This window comes from Homo sapiens, chromosome 1, assembly GCF_000001405.40.
Source record: "Homo sapiens chromosome 1, GRCh38.p14 Primary Assembly".
NCBI classification, from domain to species: Eukaryota; Metazoa; Chordata; class Mammalia; order Primates; family Hominidae; genus Homo; species Homo sapiens.
In genome coordinates this window covers 189,385,617-189,408,538 of record NC_000001.11, presented here as the reverse complement: position 1 = coordinate 189,408,538, position 22,922 = coordinate 189,385,617, and the positions used below count along the sequence as shown (strand labels likewise).

General features: G+C 34.6%; 1 long non-coding RNA gene across 2 annotated transcripts in view; it reads right to left on the bottom strand.

The window, feature by feature from the left end:
• The window catches only part of LOC105371657 (uncharacterized), a 453,818-nt gene that overhangs the window by 195,042 nt on the left and 235,854 nt on the right, over positions 1-22,922 (bottom strand). Inside the window, exon 4 of one of the 2 annotated variants that reach the window (XR_001738343.2) lies at positions 17,903-18,714. The exons of the other annotated variant lie outside the window; for it this stretch is intronic. This is a non-coding gene — a long non-coding RNA (uncharacterized LOC105371657). Of the gene's footprint in view, positions 1-17,902; positions 18,715-22,922 lie in introns of those variants that run through there. 2 annotated transcript variants of the gene reach the window in all.

The following is a 22,922-nucleotide window of genomic DNA, read 5'->3' as shown; positions in this document are numbered from 1 at the left end:
CAAAAAAAAAAAAAAAAAAAAAATATATGTATATTCGTAGGTGACAATAATTGTATATATTTATGTGTGCATGTGATGCTTTGATCTATGTATATGTTGTAAGAAGATTCAATCATGCTAATCAACAAATTCCTCACCTCACTAAATTATCATTTAATAATGTATATTATTATATATTTCAAAACTGCTAAAATAATAAATTTTTAGCATTCTGACCATAAGATTAATATTCTTAAGTTGTAGAATAAATTATAATACTCAATAAAATTTGTATTACTCATTCTTAGTGTATAAATCGAAAATTAGTAAGGGCTTTGCATAATCTGTACCATTTATATAAAGCCTAAAAGTAAAACTATTTACTGTGTCTAAGCAATGTTTACATTTTATTCAAGTGTGTTTGCCAGCCTCATAATTAATGCCACTATTCTCAGAAGGAGGGCATCATCTCTTCATCTTTCCCTTCCAAAGTGCTTAACACAGTGCCAGACACTTAATAGATGTTCAAAAATGCACAAATAAATGAATGGATAAATTAATGGATCATGAATGAATGAATGGCTTTCCTGAGATAAAATGAATTCATTTTTGTATTGCACAAGCATTTCAGCATATTAGAAACATTACCTGAGCAGTATTTCTCATTCCAATGAGAGCAATGGGTACATAACTCTCGAAAGACAGGTAACTTTCATAGGCTTTCCTGTCAATATACCAGTATTAATTATTTAAGAATTCTTTTGAAAGGCTTTCAGCCACAGAAGCATTTGATTTATTTCTCAAGTTGAATATGCTGTTCTTTTGAAATACGTAATTTGTTCCATTTCGTAATATTCTGCTTTGTTTCCACACACCCAATTTCATTTTTTCAACAAAGGCTGAACTGAATTGTTTCCCCAAGGATCAATGTCTGCTGTTATAAATACTGTTTAACAGTGATATACTTACATGTACTTAGAAATGTATTTCTAGATTTTTCCTTTTGTTCTTTTTCCTGATATCTTTGTTTCCCATTAAATCAGGGTACATTTATATCATTCTATTTGATCTAAATACAGTCACATTTGTATATCAAATGTGTTTAATTATATTTTATTTCTAATTTCTAATAGATTCAAGTGTCACAATATTTTTACTGAACTACTCCCATCAAATCTTTCCATGCTGATTATTCACCTGAATATACCTTTAATGTGACATATATATTCTTGTTTTCTATCAACTTCTCTCTTTTTGAATCTTTAAACACAACATAGGAACTTTGTTTGCTTAGTTGACTTCAATATGACTATAGTTTCAACTTAAAATTTTCATGGCAAACTTCCAGTAGTACTGATTTTAAGTTAAATGCATGTGCTATTATATTAATATATTGTATATGATAAAACACTTGGAAATAGAAAATATTAAAGCATTAGTTAAAAATGAAATATTAGGCATTTAAAATATTTATTTACAGTGCAAAACCCTTCTTGCTTTGGCTGATATTTTAGTGAGAGCAATGTGAATACTTTTAATTAAAAAAAATATATATATATATATACATATTTATATATATTGGATTCAGCTATCCAAATTCTGAGTCAGAGATTCAGGTTACTTCATTTAATGGCCACGATAACTGAGGAAGATAATCAAGAAGATATGGAGGCTGGGCACGGTGGCTCACACCTTTCATCCCAGCACTTTGGGAGGCCAAGATAGGCAGATTACTTGAGCCCAAGAGTTTAAGACTAGCCTGGGAAACATGGCAAAACCCCTTCTCTACAAAAAATACAAAAAGTAGCCAGGCATCATGGTGCAAACCTGTAGTCCCAGCTACTCAGGAAAGCTGAGGTGGGAGGACTCCTTGAGCCTGGGAGGCCAAGGCTGCAGTGAGCTGTGATCCCGCCAGTCTGGATGACAGAGAAAGACCCGGTCTTAAAAATAAATCAATCAATAAATAAGAAAGAAAGAAAAAGATATGGTGGTATCGTTTGGCTATGTCCCTACCCAAATCTCATCTTCAATTGTAACTTGCACAATTTCACATATCACAGGAGGAATCTGGTGATGGGTGATTGAATTATGGTGATGGGTCTTTCCTGTGCTGTTCTCGTAATAGTGAATGAGTCTCATGAGATCTGATAGTTTAAAAAATGGGAGTTTCCTTGCACAAGCTCTTTTTTTTTCCCTGCTGCCTTCCACGTAAGACGTAACTTGATCCTCCTTGCCTTATGTCATGATTGTGAGGCCTCCCCAGCCATGCGGAGCTTTAGTTCATTAAACCTCTTTTTCTTCCCAGTCTCAGGTACATTTTCATCAGCAGCATGAAAACGAACTAATACAGTAAATTGGTACCTAAAGAGTGGGGTGTTGCTGAAAAGATACCTGGAACTGGGTAACAGGCAGAGGCTGAAAGTTTGGAGGGGTCAGAAGACGACAGGAAAATGTGGGAAAGTTTGAAACTTCCTAGAGACTTGTTGAATAGCTTTGCCCAAAATGCTGATAGTAATATGAACAATAAAGTCCAGGCTGAGGTGGTCCCAGATGGAAATAAGGAGCTTTTTGGGAACTGGAGCAAATGTGACACTTGTTATGTTTTAGCAAAGAGATTGGCAGCATTTTGCCCCTGCCCTAGAGATATGTGGAACTTTGAAATTGAGAGAGATGATTTAGCATATCTGGTGGGAGAAATTTCTATGCAGCAAAATATTCAAAAGTTGACTTGAGTGCTGTTAAAGGCATTCAGTTTTAAAAGGGAAAGAGAGCAAAAATGTTTGAAAAATTTGCAGCCTGATAATGTGAAAGAACAGAAAAACCCATTTTCTGAGGAGAAATTCACGCTGGCTGCAGAAATTTGCATAAGTAAACAAGAACTGAATGTTAATCCCCAAGAGAATGGGGAAAATTTTTCCAGAGCATGTCAGAGTCTTTTGCAGCAGCCCCTCCCATCACAGGCCCTGAGGCCTAGGAGAAAAAAAAAAGTTTCATGTGCCAGGCCCAGGGTCCCTCCTCAGCTGTGTGCATTGTAGGGACTTGGTGCCTTGCATCCCAGCTGCTCCAGTTGTGGATTAAAGAGGCCAATGTAGAGCTCAGGTACTGGCTTCAGAGGGTGCAAGCCCCAAACCTTGGCAGCTTTCATGTGGTGTTGAGCCTGTGAGCACACAGAAGTCAATAATTGGGGTTTGGGAACTTCCTCCTAGATTACAGAATATGTATGGAAACGCCTGGATGCCTGGGCAGAAGTTTGGTGTAGGGGTGGGGCCCTCATGGAGAATCTCTGCTAGACCAATGCAGAAGGAAAATGTGGGGTTGGAGCCCCCACACAGAGTCCCTACTGGTGCACTGCCTAGTGGAGTAGTGAGAAGGGGGCCATCATTCTCCAGACCCCAGAATTGTAGGTCCACCTACAAGCTGCACTGTGCACCTGGAAAAGCTGCAGACACTCAACACCATCCCATGAAAGCAGCCAGGAGGAGGCTGTACTCATGCAAAGCCACAGGAACAGAGCTGCTCAAGACCATGGAAACCCACCTCTTGTGTCAGCATGACCTGGATAAGAAACATGGAGTCAAAGGAGATCATTTTGGAGCTTTAAGATTTGACCGTTCTGCTGGATTTTGGGCTTTCATGGGGCCTGTAACCCCTTTGTTTTGGCCAATTTCTCCCATTTGGAACAGCTGGATTTACTCAATGCCTGTACCCCCATTGTATCTAGGAAGTGATTAACTTGCTTTTGATTTTACAGATTCATAGGTGATAGGGGCTTGCCTAGTCTCAGATGAGACATTGGACTGTGGAAATTTGAGTTAATGCTAAAATGAGTTAAGACTTGGGAGACTGTTGGGAAGGCATATTTGGTTTTGGAATGTGAGGACATGAGATTTGGAGGGGCCAGGGGCTGAATGATAGGCTGTGTCCCCACCCAAATCTCATCTTGAATTGTAACTCCCACAATTCCCATGTGTTGTGCAAGGAACCTGGTGGGAGGTGATTAAATTATAGGGACAGGGCTTTCCCACACTTTTCTTCTGATAGTGAATGAGTCTCATGAGATCTGATGGTTTTAAAAATGGGAGTTTCCCTGCACAAGCTGTTTGTTTGTCTGCTGCCATCTATGTAAGATGTGACTTGCTCCTCCTTGTCCTCCATCATGATTGTGAGGCCTCCCCTGCCATGTGGAACTGTAAGTCCATTAAACCTCTTCTTCTTCCCAGTCTTGGGTATGTCTTTTTCAGCAGCATGAAAATGGACTAATACATATGGAGATCCAAATGGAATAAGCTAATCTTAGGCTGTGCTTACTAAATTATTATACTATCAGTTTCATTCATCAACTCTCTAAAACATTATGTTTCTTTCTAAAAAAAGTATTTTAAATTATAAATTGACGATTTATAGTCATATATCATTGCATATCCTTAGAAGGTACCAAATGACATTATGATTTATGATGATTAAGTTTGGCACCACCTTATATTATAATTTCATTTTAATTTCTGAATTTTTTATTCTCTTCATTTCTCTAAAGTTATGAACTCTAAGAAGTCACAAGATAAGTTCCCTTCTACCAAAGAGATGTTCTTACTTAGCCAGGCATTTTACTTAACTACGTTTTCTGCCTCTGTGTTCTTTAATCTGTCCCTCTTCCCCAACCCCCGTTTCCTCCTGTCATTACCATAACATTGCTGATCTCCTTTTACCTGTTCTTCCACCTAGAGTTAATCTTCCTTCAACCAACAGAAATTTCTCTAAAAGCTTTTTTTCCCCCAGAAATCTGGATCTTATGGATACATTCTTCTCCCGTACATTTCACTACAGACTTTTTTTATAATAAATTAAAGCACAGATTTTTTTGCACAGCATAAAAGATGTTTGCTATTGTACCCTGATGAGTAAAGAATAATATAAAATACTTTGATTCATTTTGAAGGAAACAATGGAACTTCAATATCTTAGAAGTTAGACATGGAAGGAATTGAAGATTAGCCACTCATAGGAAATCTATCATAGACTGTCAAATAAAATGTTATTGAAAGTGATAATCATCTTAATGGGATCATCTCTTTCAACATCAAATAGGAATGATTTGTGCATAGTATTGAATGTTTTTTTTTTTAATTGCTGTGGTTTGAAAAAAAAAAAGATGGGGACAAAAACACCCAGAAAACCTTTTCTTAATAATCTTTGCAGCAACTTACAAGAAAATATGGATTATTTTAACCCTTGAAGGAAGTTCAGACATCACCAGACTCTTACTATTTAATGTTAGCTCACCAAAACAGTAACATTAGCTTTGTCAAATTAAAGATAACAGTGTAAGAATTAGTAAACTATATTAGATATGCAATCTATTTTTAAAAGCAACTTCAAGAGAAATGTTATGAAAATGATGTGTCTTCTCTTTTATATGAACCTCAAATCATATATTCCTAATTTTTTCTAATTAATTTAGCAATGTCTTCAGGTTATTTACATTATTAAACCTATATTTTTAAGTGTTTTGATTTAAGACAGTCAAGTTCTTCTTCATCAAAAACTTACTGAACCACTATTGGGAAGTGATTAGAAACAAATAAATTATGCACATACATTTTTTTACTTAAATATAAGGATTTGATATTGTAAAATAAAGCGAACAAGTTTTAACCTAATTCTATTCAACTTTGCTTTGAATGTATATGATTAGAATGAAACTAAACTATATTCAGTATTGTGATATGTAAAGTAGTGGAATAGGTGCTTTCAAGTAATCCCTTACTTAATCCTCCTGATAATCTTATGAATCAAGATCATCACACCCACTTGGAATAGAAAACAGAAGTTTAGAGAGTTTCAGTGGCTTATCCAAAGTTGATATATAAAAATATATGATCTAAGGGTTAAAGCCAAGAGCATCTAACTCCAAAGTCATATTCTTTCCTTGCAGAAGCACGAATCATTGTTATTTTGTCTCATAAAGAAGTTGTTATGCTTTCATATATATTTCTTATCTATATTTTTTGAGTAAATAAGAAATTAAGTAAAACTGTGTAAGCATTTCGCAGAGTGTGCGTGTTTTGATACTATGTAAAGTCTAGAATATGCTCTACATTAGGCTTTATTCTTTTTTTAATTACAGATTAACAGGGTACATGTGTATTTTTTTTTTACATAGATAAATTGCTTAATAGTGAGGTTTGGGATTCTAGTGTACCAGTAACTCAGATAGTGAATATTGTACCCAGGAGTTAATTTTTCAATACTCACCACGCTCCCAGTCCTCTCCTTTTGGAGTCACACATGTCTATTGTTGTCATCTTTATGTCCATATACACTCATTGTTTAGCTCCCACTTATAAGTGAGAACACAGTATTTGATTTTCAATTTCTGATTTATTTTGCTTAGCATAATAGCCCCCAGCTCCATCTATGTTGCTGCAGAAGACATGATTTTATTAATTTTTATGGTTGCAGAGTATTCCATGGTATATATATACCACATATTCTTTATCCAATTATTTGTCGATAGTCACTTAGGTTGATTCCATGACTTTGATACTCTGAATAGTGCTGCAATAAACATACAAATGCAGATGTATTTTTCATATAATGATTTATTTCCTTTGGATAGATATCCAGTAGTCAGATTGCTGGGTCAAATGGTAGTTTTATTTTTAGTTCTTTGAAAAAATTTCATACTGTCTTCCATAGAGGCTGCGCCAACAGTGTATAAGCTTTCCGCTTTTTCCATTTCCTCAACAACATTTGTTATTTATTATTTTTGTTTACTTTTTAATAATGGCCATTCTGCTCCGTCCATCTTTGGGATCTACAAAACAGCAAATTTGTTCATCTAACTATTAAATGAAGTGTATTAAAATTTTGTTAATTACTCATGGGATTTCATCTCCAAAGAGATTAAGAGAGTAGCGTCTATTCTTGCATCTATTAACCGGCTCAGACAACTTTGGCAGATGGACTACACTCTCCTGATGTTAATTTCTTTATTTTTACTTGAAAATAGCAATACTGACTTACCTATCTCACTGTAATGTTTTTAAGATCAAATAAATTAATATGTGTTAGAGTTGGAGTGGCATTTAATTATATGTCTCTTCTTCCTAGCTTCTGAATAAATTAATAAAATAGACATAAAAGTTAACGCATTGCATATAGTTATCTTTTTATCGTTAGACTGGAACGAGGAACACAGCTTAAAATTGAAATAAGCAAAATTAACTGCTCCCAAATCTAAATGTTAACACCAATCAGTAAACTAAGTAGAGTTGGTAGTGTAACAGACTGTAAGTAAAGCATCATAACCTTGCCTCACACACTGTTAGGTAAAAAAAAGAGCAACAGTTGGATGGGAAGAGATGTGTTTCTTGACCATCCATCAGAAGGAATGGCAATAGCTCTGAACCAGTTTCCATATCACCTACAGAATGGGTACAAAAAAAAATGTGGCCCTTTACACTCTAAGACAGGTGTAGCCAGCAATCCAGGCTAGGCTTTACAGTACAAATTGCTATCTCCTGCACAGTAGCCATCATCTACTTATACAATTAATAATAATGATAATAATAAGCTGAAGAAATGACAGTCCTGGTAATATCTCTTCCAGAAATGTGACCATGTGATTAGGTTTGGATGAATGAGATAGGAGCAAAGATGGGACTAACTTTTGGTTTTGTCTTTATTGTTGAAAGGTTCGTACTCTTCCTTCTCTTTCTTCTCCTGTTTGACAACTCCATACACAAGCTGAGATTCAGAAGTGAGACATATTTGATCATATATTAAGACAAAACACTAAGTAGAGAAGGGATGAACACTGGGAACTACATGCTTTGAGTTTCAGACATTAATCATCTGCTCGATCTCTTATATTGGAAGTGAAATAAATTATCTTGTGTTAAAAGTGGTATATTTTAGAGGTTCTCCTTATAGCCACCTAGCATGTAGTATTACTAATATGTAAGAACAATCAATATTGTCCTAAAATTTCAATCAATTAAGTTACCTATTATCCAATAAAAGGAGCTATTGAGATGGTATCTTCCCTAGAGAAATAATATTCTATCATTTAGCATTAATTTTATCTTTATGTAACAACAAACTCAACATCTGGGGTGTAATAACATTAATAAATAGGACATTAGCCCTTTCTCAGATGAGTAGATTGCAAAAATTTTCTCCCATTCTGTAGGTTGCCTGTTCACTCTGATGGTAGTTTCTTTTGCTGCACGGAAGCTCTTTAGTTTAATTAGATCCCATTTGTCAATTTTGGCTTTTGTTGCCATTGCTTTTTGTGTTTTAGTCATGAAGTCCTTACCCATGCCTATGCCCTGAATGGTATTGCCTAGATGTTCTTCTAGGGTTTTTATGGTTTTAGGTCTAACATTTAAGTCTTTAATCCATCTTGAATTAATTTTTGTATAAGGTGTAAGGCAGGGATCCAGTTTCAGCTTTCTACAAATGGCTAGCCAGTTTTCCCAGCACCATTTATTAAATAGGGAATCCTTTCCCCATTGCTTGTTTTTCTCAGGTTTGTCAAAGATCAGATGGTTATAGATGTGTGGTATTATTTCTGAGAGCTCTGTTCTGTTCCATTGGTCTATATCTCTGCTTTGGTACCAGTACCACGCTGTTTTGGTTGCTGTAGCCTTGTAGTATAGTTTGAAGTCAGGTAGTGTGATGCCTCCAGCTTTGTTCTTTTGGCTTAGGATTGACTTGGCCATGCGGGCTCTTTTTTGGTTCCATATGAACTTTAAAGTAGTTTTTTCCAATTCTATGAAGAAAGTCATTGGTAGCTTGATGGGGATTGCATTGAATCTATAAATTACCTTGGGCAGTATGGCCATTTTCATGATATTGATTCCTCCTACCCATGAGCATGGAATATTCTTCCATTTGTTTGTGTCCTCTTTTATTTCATTGAGCAGTGGTTTGTAGTTCTCCTTGAAGAGGCCCTTCACATCCCTTGGAGGTTGGATTCCTAGGTATTTTATCTTCTTTGAAGCAATTGTGAATGGGAGTTCACTCATGATTTGGCTCTCTGTTTTTCTGTTATGGGTGTATAAGAATGCTTGTGATTTTTGCACATTGATTTTGTATCCTGAGACTTTGCTGAAGTTGCTTATCAGCTTAAGGAGATTTTGGGCTGAGACGATGGGGTTTTCTAAATATACAATCATGTCATCTGCAAACAGGGAAATTTTGACTTCCTCTTTTCCTAATTGAATACCCTTTCTTTCTCCTGCCTGATTGCCCTGGCCAGAACTTCCAACACTATGTTGAATAGGAGTGGTGAGAGAGGGCATCCCTGTCTTCTGTCAGTTTTCAAAGGGAATGCTTCCAGTTTTTGCCCATTCAGTATGATACTGGCTGTGGATTTGTCCTAAATAGTTCTTATTATTTTGAGACACATCGCATCAATACCTAGTTTATTGAGAGTTTTTAGCATGAAGCACTGCTGAAATTTGTCGAAGGCCTTTTCTGCATCTACTGAGAAAATCATGTGGTTTTTGTCTTTGGTTCTGTTTATACACTGGATTATGTTTATTGATTTGCATTTGTTGAACCAGCCTTGCATCCCAGGGATGAAGCCCACTTGATCATACTGGACAAGCTTTTTGATGTGCTGCTGGATTCGGTTTGCCAGTATTTTGACTGTGTCAACTTGGCTAAGATGACATAATTACTTTTCTCCTGTGATTTTCTTTCCTTCTATAATTTCAAGTTAGAATTGTCCAAAAGAGAAATATGTATAAGATTTGGAAAGTGAAAGTGAAGCATCTGTATCCTCTGGGGGTTCTGGTGATTAAAAGCAAGGACAGACAGATGCAGATGCAGCCATTGAGTTGGCACCTGCCCTCTACTCCAGCGTTAAAGAAAGACTCGGCCGGGCGCGGTAGCTCACGCCTGTAATCCCAGCACTTTGGTAGGCCAAGGCGAACGGATCACCTGAGGTCAGGAGTTCAAGACCAGCCTGGCCAACATGGTGAAACCCTGTCTCTACTAAAAATACAAAAAAAAAAAATTAACCGGGTATGGTGGTGAGTGCCTGTAATCCCAGCTACTCAGGAGGCTGAGGCAGGAGAATGAAGAGTGAAACTTTGTCTCAAAAAAAAAAAAAAAAAAAAAAAAGAAAAAGAAAAAGAAAGACTCAGCAATGCTGTCAGGTTCATGCTTGTCCTTATTCCTATTCACCTCATTTATAACTCTTATTCCCAGTGACCAAGATCCCCAGATGCACCAACAGACACAGAGATATCAGCCTTCCACAGACTTCTTCAGCACCTCTCTTCTGTGATTCCACTCTGGCAGGTGGACATGTCTAGCTTCTCAGATTTCTCTGCAAGCTCTGATTTGTCCACCTACTCCAGTGTTTGTCCACCTATTCTGATTTGTCCACCTACTAAGAGTTGGTTAGTGACTTTTTTTCTGATACTCTAACTCTCCATTCCAGACCACATGTCCTCTCTTCTTTCTTTGTTAAGTTCTAATTACTAGAACAAATCAGTTACTCTGTAGTTCTCACAGTGGTTCTGCTTCTCTGATTAAACACTGAGTGATCCAGCAACTCTACAGAGGAGTCCCAAATTTGAATATAAATTCCTTATCAGTGTTGAACTGCTAGGGAGAAATTAAATTGAGGGACTGAATCCCTTTGAAATTTAATTTTAAAAGACATAAACATCTAAAATAGTTAATGTCTTAAATCAAATTACCTTGTTCTGTAAGGTAAGTTCAAGGAAATTAAAGACCTGCATTCAAAGCATAGGTAGAATTAGGTTTCTGGGAGCAAATGCAGTCTGTACTCCCCCCCAGAATAATTGTGGTACTTTCGGGGCCTCTGATATTCTTCTATAGGTTAATACTAAGCTTCTCAGATGTCTTGCTGAAAAAGAGTAAAGACTAATAGAAAACAGAAATCATGTTGAAGTGGATGAGTCAATGTCACATAGTGAGTGCATAAGTGAATTTTTTTTTTTTAAAGAATTGGTGTTAATTTTTTTCTATACTTTGGGTAGAATTTTCCAGTGAAACTATCTATGCCTGAAGATTTCTTTTTCAGGAAGTCTATAATTATAAATTAAATTATCTCAATTTTAATAGGTGTGTCAATACTATCTATTTCATATTGGGTAAACTGTGGTAGTTTGTCCATTACAAACATCTGATCAATTTCATTTAATTAGACACATTTATTTGTGTAGAGTTGTGTGTAATATTCCACGATTATCCTTTTGTTGTCTGAAGAGTTTATAATGATATTTTCTAAGTCATTCCTGATACTTGCAAGTTGCGTCTTCTCTCTTTTTTTCTTTATAAGTTTTGGTAGAAGTTTGACAATTTTATTAATCTTTAAAAAGAATCAGTTTTTTTTTTGTTTTATTGGACTTCTTTATTATTTTACTGTTTTCAATGCCATTGATATCTGCTCTGATCTTTATTATTTCCTTCTCTATGCTCACTTTGGATTTATTTTGTTCTTCTTTTACTAGTTGGAGATGGAAGCTTAGGTAATTAGTTTGACGCTTTTCCTGACATAAGCATTTAAGAAAAGTCTCATTTCCCTTCTATCACTGCTGTAGTTGAGTCCTATAAATTTTGATATGTTGAATTTTTATTCACATTAATCTCAATGTATTTTTATTTTCCTTGAGACTTCCTCTTTGATCTATTGAATACTTAGAAGTGTGTTTTCAGTTTCTTAATGTCTGGACATTCTCCTGATTACATCTCTGTTACTGATTCCTAATTTAAGTATATTGTGGTCAAGGAACACACTCTGCATAATTTTTATTCTTTTAAATGTATTGAGATTTGTTTTTTGGAACAGTATTTGGTCTAACAAAATGTATTGCATAGTCCCTTAAAAAGACTATATATTCTGCTGTTGTTGGGTTAGAATGTTCAATAAATATTAACTATATATTTGGTTAATGGTATCTTAATTTTTGTTGTATCCTTACTGATTTTCTGTTTACTTTTTCCACCACTTGTTAAGAATGGGTTTGAGATTTCCCATTACATTTGTGTATTTTTTTTTTCATAGCTTCTGCAGCTCTGTTGTTTGGTGCATACATATCTAGCACCATAGAGAAATTCGGCAAACTGAATTCAGCTAACTGTCATTATATAATGCCATTCTCTACCCCAGTAATATTTTTGCTCTGAAATTTACTTATTCTGATACAAAGATAGTCAATCTCTCTTTATTTCAAGAATATTTGTATGGAATGTCTTTTACTATTATTTTAATTTCACCTTCCTCTACAATTACATTTGAACTGAAATTCTTATCAATAATATTTGGTTCAGCCATGTTGTTTATTTGTTATCCATCTTTAATTGTTTTACTTAGTTCTGTTGCCTTTCTTTTAATTACTGTATTGATATGTTATATCTGAAATTTTCTTTTTTATTTTCTGTTTCTTCTCTGTTATTTTTGTTTCCTCTTTCCTGCATTCATATGAGTTGCTAAAGCATTTCTGAAACTTCCATTTGGATTTATCTATACTGTTTTAGTTATATTATTTGTAGAATTTTCCTTTAATGTTTGCTTTAAATTTTACATTATTTACACATAGCTGTTTTAAGTCAACTGGTGTTCACATGTTTCTTGTTTTTTAAATTTATTTATTTTTTATTAAGTTCCGGGGAACATGTGCAGGTTGTGCAGCTGTGTTACATAGGTAAACGTGTGCCATGGTGGTTTGCTGCACCTATCAACCCATCACCTAGGTATTAAGCCCAGCATACATTGGCTCTTTTCCCTAATGCTGTTCCTAGCCCCGCCCTCCCCCAACAGGCCCCAGTGTCTGTTGTTACCCTCCCTGTGTCCTTGTGTTCTCATTACTCAGCTCATACTTATAAATGAGAACATGCAGTGTTTGGTTTTCTGTTCCTGCATTAGTTCCTGAGGATAAAGGCTTCCATCTTCATCCAGGTTCCTGCAAAATACATGATCTCATTCCTTTTTATGGCTGCATAATATTCCTTGGTGTATATGTACCGCATTTTCTTTATCCAATCTATCATTAATGGTCATTTGGGTTGATTCCATGTCTTTGCTATTGTGAATAGTGCTGCAATGAACATATGCATGCATGTATCTTTATAATAGAATGATTTATATTCCTTTGTGTATATACCCAGTAATGGGATTACTGGGTCAAATGGTATTCTGCTTCTAAATCTTTGAGGATTACCACCCTGTCTTCCACAATCCTTGAACTAATTTACATTCTCAACAACAGTGTAAAAGTGTTCCTATTCCTCCACAGACTCGCCAGCATCTATTGTTTCCTGACTTTTTAATAATCGCTATTCTGACTGGTATGAGATGGTATCTCATTGTGGTTTTGATTTGCATTTCTCTGATGATCAGTGATGTTGAGCTTTGTTTCATATATGTTTGCTGGTGGCATAAATGTGTTCTTTTGAGAAGCATCTGTTCATATCCTTTGCCCACTGTTTGATGGGGTTTTGTTTTTTGCTTGTAAATGTGTTTAAGTTCCTTGTAGATTCTGGATATTAGACCACTGTCAGATGGAGAGATTGCAAAAATTCTGTCCCATTCCATAAGATGTCTATTCACTCTGATGATAGGCTCTTTCGCTGTGCAGAAGCTCTTTAGTTTAGATCGCATTTGTCAGTTGTTGCTTTTGTTCCAATTGCTTTTGGTGATTTCATCATAAAGTCTTTGTCCATGCTTATGTCTGTATGGCATTGTCTAGATTTTCTTCTAGGGTTTTTATAATTTTGGGTTTTGCAGTCAAGTCTTTAATCCATCTTGACTTAATTTTTTGCATATGGTGTAAAGAAGGGATCCAATTTCAGTTTTCGGCATGTGGGTAACCAGTTTTCCCAGCACCATTTATTAAATATAGAATCCTTTCCCCATTGCTTGTCTTTGTCAGGTTTGTTGAAGATCAGATGGTTGTAGATGTGCGGATTAATTTCTGAGTTCTCTATTCTCTTCCATTGGTCTATGTGCCTGTTTTTGTATGAGTACCATGCTATTTTGGTTACTGTGGTCTTGCATAGTTTGAAGTCTGAAGTTAGAGATAAACATAAAAACTTGGGTGGGCACAGGGGCTCACGTCTGTAATCCCTGCTACTCGGGAGGCTGAGGCGCCAGAATCGCTTAAGCTCAGGAGGCGGAGGTTGCAGGGAGCCAAGACTGTGCCACTGCACTCCAGCTTGGGTGACAGAGTGAGACTCCATCTCAAAAAATAAAATAAAATAAACATAAAAAACTTTACTTATTTATGTCTTTTGATCTTCCAAATTTATTATATAATTGGCACAAATATTTCTTCTACACATATGAAAAAACATGTTAGATTTTGTGGCATAAATATTGTGCCATATGCAATTTCTTTTTACAGATGCTTGAACCCTGTACCTTAATTTTCGGGTGCATTTCAGACCAGATTGTTCTCTAATAAAAGTGTTTATCTTCTCACTGAGTGGTAGAATTACTGTAGCTACTGGTCTATGCTTTTAAAATTTTACATATTTACAGAATACTCTGTAAAAAATCATTTTCCACATTACAAATGATACAATAGTCCTAAAGAGTTAAATGTATAGCTAGTGAGATATTTAAGATAATAATGTAGATATTTGATATCATGTACCTCTGTTAATTTCTTTCTACCATATACTGCCCCTTTCAATGTTGGTGATCTGTAAAAATAGATACATAGGGCTAATGAAAAGAAGACTGCTATAGAATTGCCATTTACTTCATGTATTCAGAGAACTTTCAGTGGAGTGTTCTGGTACTACTTAAATATATGTTAAAAGTGAGACACATTAATAATCTGTAAATACTGAAGTCCTCTTCAGAATCAGTATATTTGTCAAATCACTCCCTTTCCTGGCTTAATAAAGGCATGATATGAATACATGTATGAGGCTTATGTGACAGTATATTTGCATATAAAATAAAAATAATTTTATTATGTATATCTTCCTTCTTGATATGGAAGAGGTCTGGACAGTGAAAAATAATATGTAAATGTTCAGGAAATGCTAAATGACTGTTTATAGGAAAGTCTTAATGAAGCCATAGTAAATCAAATATGATTTACTATAGCATTATTTCTCCATAATAATATTCACTTATTTTTCACAAATAATTTTTTAAAAATGAATAACATAGGCAGAGTTTTATCTGACTTGTAGAGTCCTTAAAAGTCATCACTCCCATCCTCAACAAAGAAATCTCTAAACCAACTGAAAATTAATGACTTTTTGTAGATCTGTTAAAAAATTGAGGTCATGTAGTAAAATGCATGACACAAAAACAACACATTTTTTAAAGGCAGGGAAAAATACCTTCTCTATAATGGAACAATGAAAAGGATTAACACTGATCTCCGCATCAGAAACCATGCAAAGTGAACAAAATAGAGGGAAATATTTGAAGTGTTGAAAGAAAAATACCCCAAACTCAAATTCTGTGATTAAAAAAAATATTCTTCAAAAGTCAAAGAGAAATCGAAACTTTCTCAAACAAACCAAAAGAGCAACAAATTATATTTTACTTTATTTTTAACTGTGGACTTTTTTCAATTTCAACTTTTATTTTAGATATAATGGTTGCATGGCAGATTTGATACATGGAATATTACATGATGCAGAGGTTTGGAATATAAATCTCTTGGTAGTGAGCATAGTACCTGATAGGTAGGTTTTTTAACCCACCCCCTCCCTCCACCTTCTGGTAGTTCACAGTGCCTATTGTTCCCAAATTTATGTCAATGAGTGCTCAATGCTTAGCTCTGACTTATAGGTAAGAATATATGGTATTTGGTTTTCTGTTTCTGATTAATTTGCTTAGGATTATGGCCTCCAGCTCCATCCATATTGCTGCAAAGAACATAATTTCATTCTTTTTTATTGCTGTGTAGTATTCCATTGCATATATGTCGAACATTTTCTTTATTCATTATATAATTGATAGGCACCTGGGTTGGTTCTGTGCCTTTGTTGTTGTGAATAGTGCAAATATAAACATACAAATGCATGTGTCTTTTGGGTGGAATAATTTATTTTCTTTTAGGTGTATAACTAGTAATGGGATTACTGAGTCCAATGGTAGCTCTGTTTTAAGTAATCTGAGAAAACTCCAGACTGTTTTCCACAGTGACAGGACTAATTTACACCCCACCAACAGTATGTAAACATTCCTTTTTCTCTGGAACCTTGCCAACATCTGTGGTTTTTGACTTTTTAATAATAGCCATTCTGATTGGTGTGAGATTATATCACATTGTAGTTTGATTTACATTTTTCTAATGATTAGTGATGATGGGATTTTTTTCATATGTTTGTTGGCCATTTGTATGTCATCTTTGGAGAAGTGTCTGTTCACATCCTTTGCTCATTTTTTAATGAGGTGATTTGGTTTTTGCTTATTGAGGTTTTAAAATTCCCTATAGATTCTGGATATTATGCCCTTGTCAAATCCATAGTTTGTGAATATATTCTCCCATTCTGTAGGTCGTCTGGTTGCTCTGTTGATAGATTTTCTGCTGTGCAGAAGCTCCTTAGTTTAGTTAGGTCCCACTTGTCTATTTTTGTTTCTGTTGTAATTGCTTTGGGGGACTTAGCCACAAATTTCTTGCCAAGGCTGATGTTGAGAAGAGTATTTCCTAGGTTGATTTCCAGTACTTTTAGAGTTTGAGGTCTTACATTTAAATTTTTAATCCATTTTGAGTTAATTTTTGCCTATGTTAAAAAGTAGGTGTCCAGCTTCAATCTTCTGCATATGACAGCTAGTTATTCCAGCACCATTTATTGAATTGGGAGTTCTTTCCTCATTGTTTATTCTTATTGACTTTGTCACAGATTAGATGGTTGTAGGTGTGGAGCTTTATTTCTGATTTTTCTATTCTATTCTAATTGGTCTGTGCATCTGTTTTTGTGCCAGAATCAAACGATTTTTGTTTGTATGGGTTTATAGTATAGTTTTAAGTAAGGTAGTGTGATACCTGCAGCTTTGCTCATTTTGCTTACGATTGCTTTGGCTGTTCAGGCTCTTTTTTGGTTCCATATAAATTTTGAAATAGCTTTTTATAATTCGGTGTAGAGTGACACTGTTGATTTCACAGGAATAGCACTGATCTGTAAATTGCTTTGGGTGGTATGGCCATTTATTCCATATTGATTCTTCCAATACATGAGGATGGAATTTTTTTTCGTGCATTTTTTGTCATCTCTAATTTCTTTCAGCAGTATTTTTTAGTTTAGTTTTTTTTTTCCTCTTTTACCTCTTTGGTTAGCTGTATTTGTAGGTATTTCATTTTGACTTGACATTTGATCAAAATAATAATAGCAACATGGTATTAGGCAATTATACTATATGAATAAAGAAAATGAATTACAATACTATAAGAATTAGAAGGCAAAAATTGAGAATAATCTGTTATAAAATACCTACAATATCCAGGGAGTGATATAACAATTAATTTAAAAAGAAGTGTAACATATGTCAAGAAAGGATAGAAAATTGAGTCATAAGGTACTAAATTAAACCACAGGAAAAAAAAAAGAAAAAGAGGGGAAGAAAATGTCACCAAAGGTTCTTTGGGGAATTAAATCAAATATGAAATACATACCTCACTATTAAATAGTCATCTACCTTGAGATTCTAGTTGAACAAATGATTATTTTAATTAAGTCAATAATTGTTTTCTTACATGAGGCAAAATATATTAAAAATTCATGAAGCAGTGAAAGACTTATGCTGAACAATTGTCAATGACAATGAATGTTATGTTTCTGAAGTACTTGTATTGATCTGCAAAGCTTTGAAATGCCTGATTTTTGACACAAAGCATACAAATTAAATTGCATGTATCTGAAAAAAAGGAAAGAAAATGATTTGAAGTAAAAATTTAAAAAAAAATAGGTAGCAGAAATTTAAGGAGGTCTTTATTAAAAGTGAGAAAACCATTTTGCTAAAATTACATCAAAGTGTGCTGGGTCTTTTAAGATGTGCTTTGCTATGCTAAGGAATCTCAGCTTCTTTGGGTAGTGAATTATAAAATATTGATTTTGTGGAAAGAGAGAACATGTTAACAGCACTTTGGAGTACACATTGAAATCAATATTTTGTAATAATGATAGTGATGCTCCTGTCTACTGAAAAAGGGAAAAAGAGTTGTCAACAAATTTAAGTTTGAATAACTGGAGATGAGAAGTTCAGAGTGATAAATCTGAGTGAATAGACCAGGAAGCAGGACATAATTTAAGACCATAAATGAAAGCTTATAGGCAGGGATGTGTGGTAGAGTGTGATTTTGGGAGAAGCATTGGCAGGGGACAACAGAAGCTAAAAGCCAAAACAAATATTAAGAATGAATTGAAGACATAGCGACAAAAAAAATGGCAAGTTTAGTTTTAGTAGAAGATAGAAAATGAAAATTTGGGAGTATTTCAAGAAGCAACTTATGACCAACATTAGGGAACGGGAGAATTAGTCAGGAGTTTACTTCTAACTTTGAAGAAACTTCACGCAGTAATAAGCAAGATAGTTGCTTCAAGGCTTTGCTACTGCTCACAACAATTCAATGATCATATTCGTTAATAAAATAACATGGCACCCCTTGAATAATATTTACATTACTCTGTTTAAGTGTTCTTTGAAACCATTTCATTGCACTTGCTCTTACCGTGTTATGTTTGGCTAAGGTCAATCTTTTTAATTTGGGAGTGGGGTGTACTTGCCTGTAAGAAAAGAAAGTTACCCAAGAATTAGGGTATTACGTGATTGTCATTCAGAGTTGTCAAAACAACATGAATAATAAACACATATATTTACTTTAGCTGAAATTAAAATATATTATGGAGTTCACATTCACAGTAATACCATGTCAACAACAAAGAAATTGTACGTTAAGTCCCCAAATTTATAATTTTCAAGTAATTATTTGTTGAATATATTTATAACATACAAATATTCTATGGAATAGTACAAGGCTAAAGATTTACCAGCATTTTGGAATAACTATTGTCCAAGTTTTGTCTGTTACAAAAGTTTTGCAAATTACTTTAAAATCAATGAGATTCCTAGGACATAGTAGAGATAAATGCAACTAAATAATAATTGACTTAATGCTGTTATTCCTAAATTTATTATTTCTATAACCATACAAACTCTCTTCATTTAAAAGCTTTTCAAATAAAACTTATTTATACTATAACACATTTTTTCCAAATTCAAGCAATAAAGTAAAAATACTAAATATGGGGATTACATGAGACTAATGGCATTTATTAAATCCAATATATAATGTTCCAGCAAACAATATGATTTATTCAAAATAAAAGAAAGGGCAGGCTTAAAAGCAAAGCATCTGACTTTAACTACAGTGTACTTCCCAGTGCATTCTATTATGAGGATTAGTCTTATAAAAAAAAAGACAAAAATGTTTCATCTTGAGACAAAAAAGAAAGAGAACTTTTTCTTCTTTGTTTCAAGATGAAATGGATTAAGTTACAGAGAAATGCTGAAACTGAGAAGAAGCAATTTGAGATAACATAGTTTTGTAGGTCTAAATCATTTCAGCAAAATAGAAGCTAAGATCACCTGAAACAGAGCTTGTAAAAAGTGAAAATGTTTTGTAACAACTGCTACAATTTTAACAGGGAGAAAACTGGAAGTGAATAATAGCTATGTCAGCATTGAATCCCCAAGCAATGTAACCAAACTACATAACCTAGATTTAAACAGAAAACAAATGGAAATTGATTAGTTTGCTTCTACAATATTTGATCACACGAGGAAAAAAGAATTCTAGGATGGCAAAGATGATCAAGTGGAGCTCCAAAAAGTATAATAATAATTAAAAATAAAATAAAATTAAAAAATTAAAAAAGCTAATGGACTGAGAGTAGGTTGAGGCTATGTGACTTGATCATTCTATGAAAATGGAATACAGTGACTATAAAAAAATAAAAAGAAGGATATGTGAAAGATGGACTTTAGTAGCCAAAAAGCAATTTTAGGTTTGTAGTATTAATACAGATAATTTTCAGTTAATGGCAATATATAATGGATTCATCCTACAAAATGACAAACTCTGGATGTAGAACAAATTATTGCTGTTGATAAGGCACAGAGCAGTGAGGAAAAATAGTGAACAGATTTTGAATGTCTATATTGAAGCTATCAATAATGGTAAGTATTTTACAAGGAAGATTAGAGTAAATACTGAATTCCTCAAGAAAGTTAGAAATTCCATAAGTTTGTTTTATGTTTGAAAGATGTGACAGACAAATGTGATCACTTCCAATGGAAGAGGACTAGATGATCAGTAGTAGCTGAATGATTGCTTGGCATCAACAATAGACAGAAGATAGCAATAGAAGGCAATAATAAGCAGAGAGAATACTGCCTCTGCTCCAAGATCTTAAGAAAGAGTAGACTCCAAATTTCTTAAGATACAGAAATTAAAATAACATTTCAGTAAAAAAAAATTAATCTATATTAGGATGCTTCAGACAGAATATAGTTGCCACAGATCATAAGGAAAGGACACAAGATCAGATATATGTAACAGAAAAGAGTTCAAAGAGTAAGGCTGGGTGTGGTGGATCACACCTGTAATCCCAGTACTTTGGGAGGCCAATGTACTTTGGGAGGCCAAGATCAGATATATGTAACAGAAAAGAGTTCAAAGAGTAAGGCTGGGTGTGGTGGATCACACCTGTAATCCCAGTACTTTGGGAGGCCAATGAGGGTAGATCACCTGAGGTCAAGAGCAGCCTTGCCAACATGGCGAAACCCCTCTCTACAAAAAATACAAAAATTAAACAGGCATGGTGGTGTGTGCCTGTAGTTCCAGCTATTCCAGAGAATCGCTTGAACCAGGCAGATGGAGGTTGCAGTAAACCGAGATCACGCCATTGCACTCCAGCCTAGGCAACAGAGCAAAACTTCAAATCAAAGAAAAAAAAAAAAGGAATGGCATGGCATGGCTAAGTTAAGGTCATGTCAAACACAAGAAAAACTAACAGAAAAACATGTTTTCTAGGTGCTCAAAAAAGACAGTGGAAGAATGATGACAAAAATTATCATTTTGTCCATTTTTAAACCCTGGCACAATACCTGTTAGATTGCAATTCAATACATGATACTTGTACGTTGAGTAGATTGAAAATGGAATGAGGGTGCAACCATGTGAAAAAAAAAGATTTTTTTTTTAGAATTTGTTTTTGATGTAATTAGACCGTTCATAACAAAAAAAAAGATCTAGAAAAAGTGGACGATTCCAATTTAAACTTGTCAACAGTTGAAAAAGACTTTAACAGTTAACAAAACATGTTGCATAAAATATTAATTGAAAACAAGAGAGTATGTAAATATTATATTACTGTTTTCATGATCAGGTTTAATTTGGGCTATTGAATTCAGTTCTGAGCAACAAATTTAAAATCAGTTTCATGTGTTCATGTTGAGAAGTATCTGCAAAATTGATGTTAAAGTGATATTTAAAGTATTAGGACATTTGCTCTAGAAAAATTAAGGTTTTAGGAGAGAATATTGCTTTTCTTCAGTTATTTCTGAGACTGGAAAGATTATAGGCTTTTTCCACATTACTCCATTGAACCACAGGACAGATTTAAGATATAGTTAAAAGTATAAGGGGAAAATTTTAGGTTCATTTATACAAGTATTATTTTCAAAACAATAAGGTGTGGAAAAACTATATAAAAATGAACAATGTGTCCTGAGTAGGGAGAAAACAGAATTATTCTGATTTCTGATGACATTTTGGAACAGAAATCATTACCTAAATCACTACAATCATTAAATTTATTGTTCACTTATTTTGAGATAGAATCTTGCTCTCACACCCAGGCTGGAGTGCAGTGGCCAGTCTTGGCTTACTGTAACCTCCGCCTCTGGGTTCAAGCAATTCTCCTGCCTCAGCCTCCTGAGTAGCTGGGATTACAGAAGTGAATCACCATACTCGGCTAATTTTTGTGTTTTCTTTAAGTAGAGGCAGGTTTTCATTATGTTGGCCAGGCTGCTCTCAAACTCCTGATCTGAAGTGATCCACCTGCCTCGGTCTCACAAAGTGCTGGCATTATAGGCATGAGTCAACACGCCTGGCCACTAAATGTAATTCTTAATTTTGAAAAGTATATTATTTCATATTTGTGCAGACAGTGATTTTTTTGGTACAATTCTTTTTAACTGGGACACATACTATTATACTTAGATGCCCACTTTTCATTAAAATGGAACACCCGATGTTGAATTGTTTCGACACAGTCAAATCACGTTGTGGTTACACACACACACACGCACACACACACACAAGAAAAGAATTTCAAAATGCCATCAATTTTCTTCCTATACATCTAAAATTAGGCTAGGTGTGGTGGCTCACACCTGTAATCCCAGCACTTTGGGAGGCCGAGGCAGGTGGATCACCTGAGGGCAGGAGTTTGAGACCAGTCTGACCAATACGGTGAAACCCCATCTCTACTAAAAATACAAAAATTAGCCGGGCATGGTGGTGGGCGCCTGTAGTCCCAGCTACTGGGGAGGCTGAGACAGGAGAATTGCTTGAACCTGGGAGCAGAGGTTTCAGTGAGCTGAGATTGCACCACTGTGCTCCAGCGTGGGCGACAGAGCTAGAATCCGTCTCAAAAAAAAAAAATCTAAAATTAAAAATAGTTTATCTAAAATTGTATAAAATGAGAAATCACTGCATATACTTGTTAGCATTACTTTATTTTCCATTATATCAAAATAGTGTATCAAAATGTAGAATTTCTAAAACCTTGAAGTTATATTATCACTGAAAATGTTTAATTTTATAATGACTATGTTTTTAATTCCTTTGTTTGCTTTAACTTATCTACTTTATATTAATTATCAAGGGCCCATGCAAACTTCCTTGCTAGACAAACCTGCTTCTGAA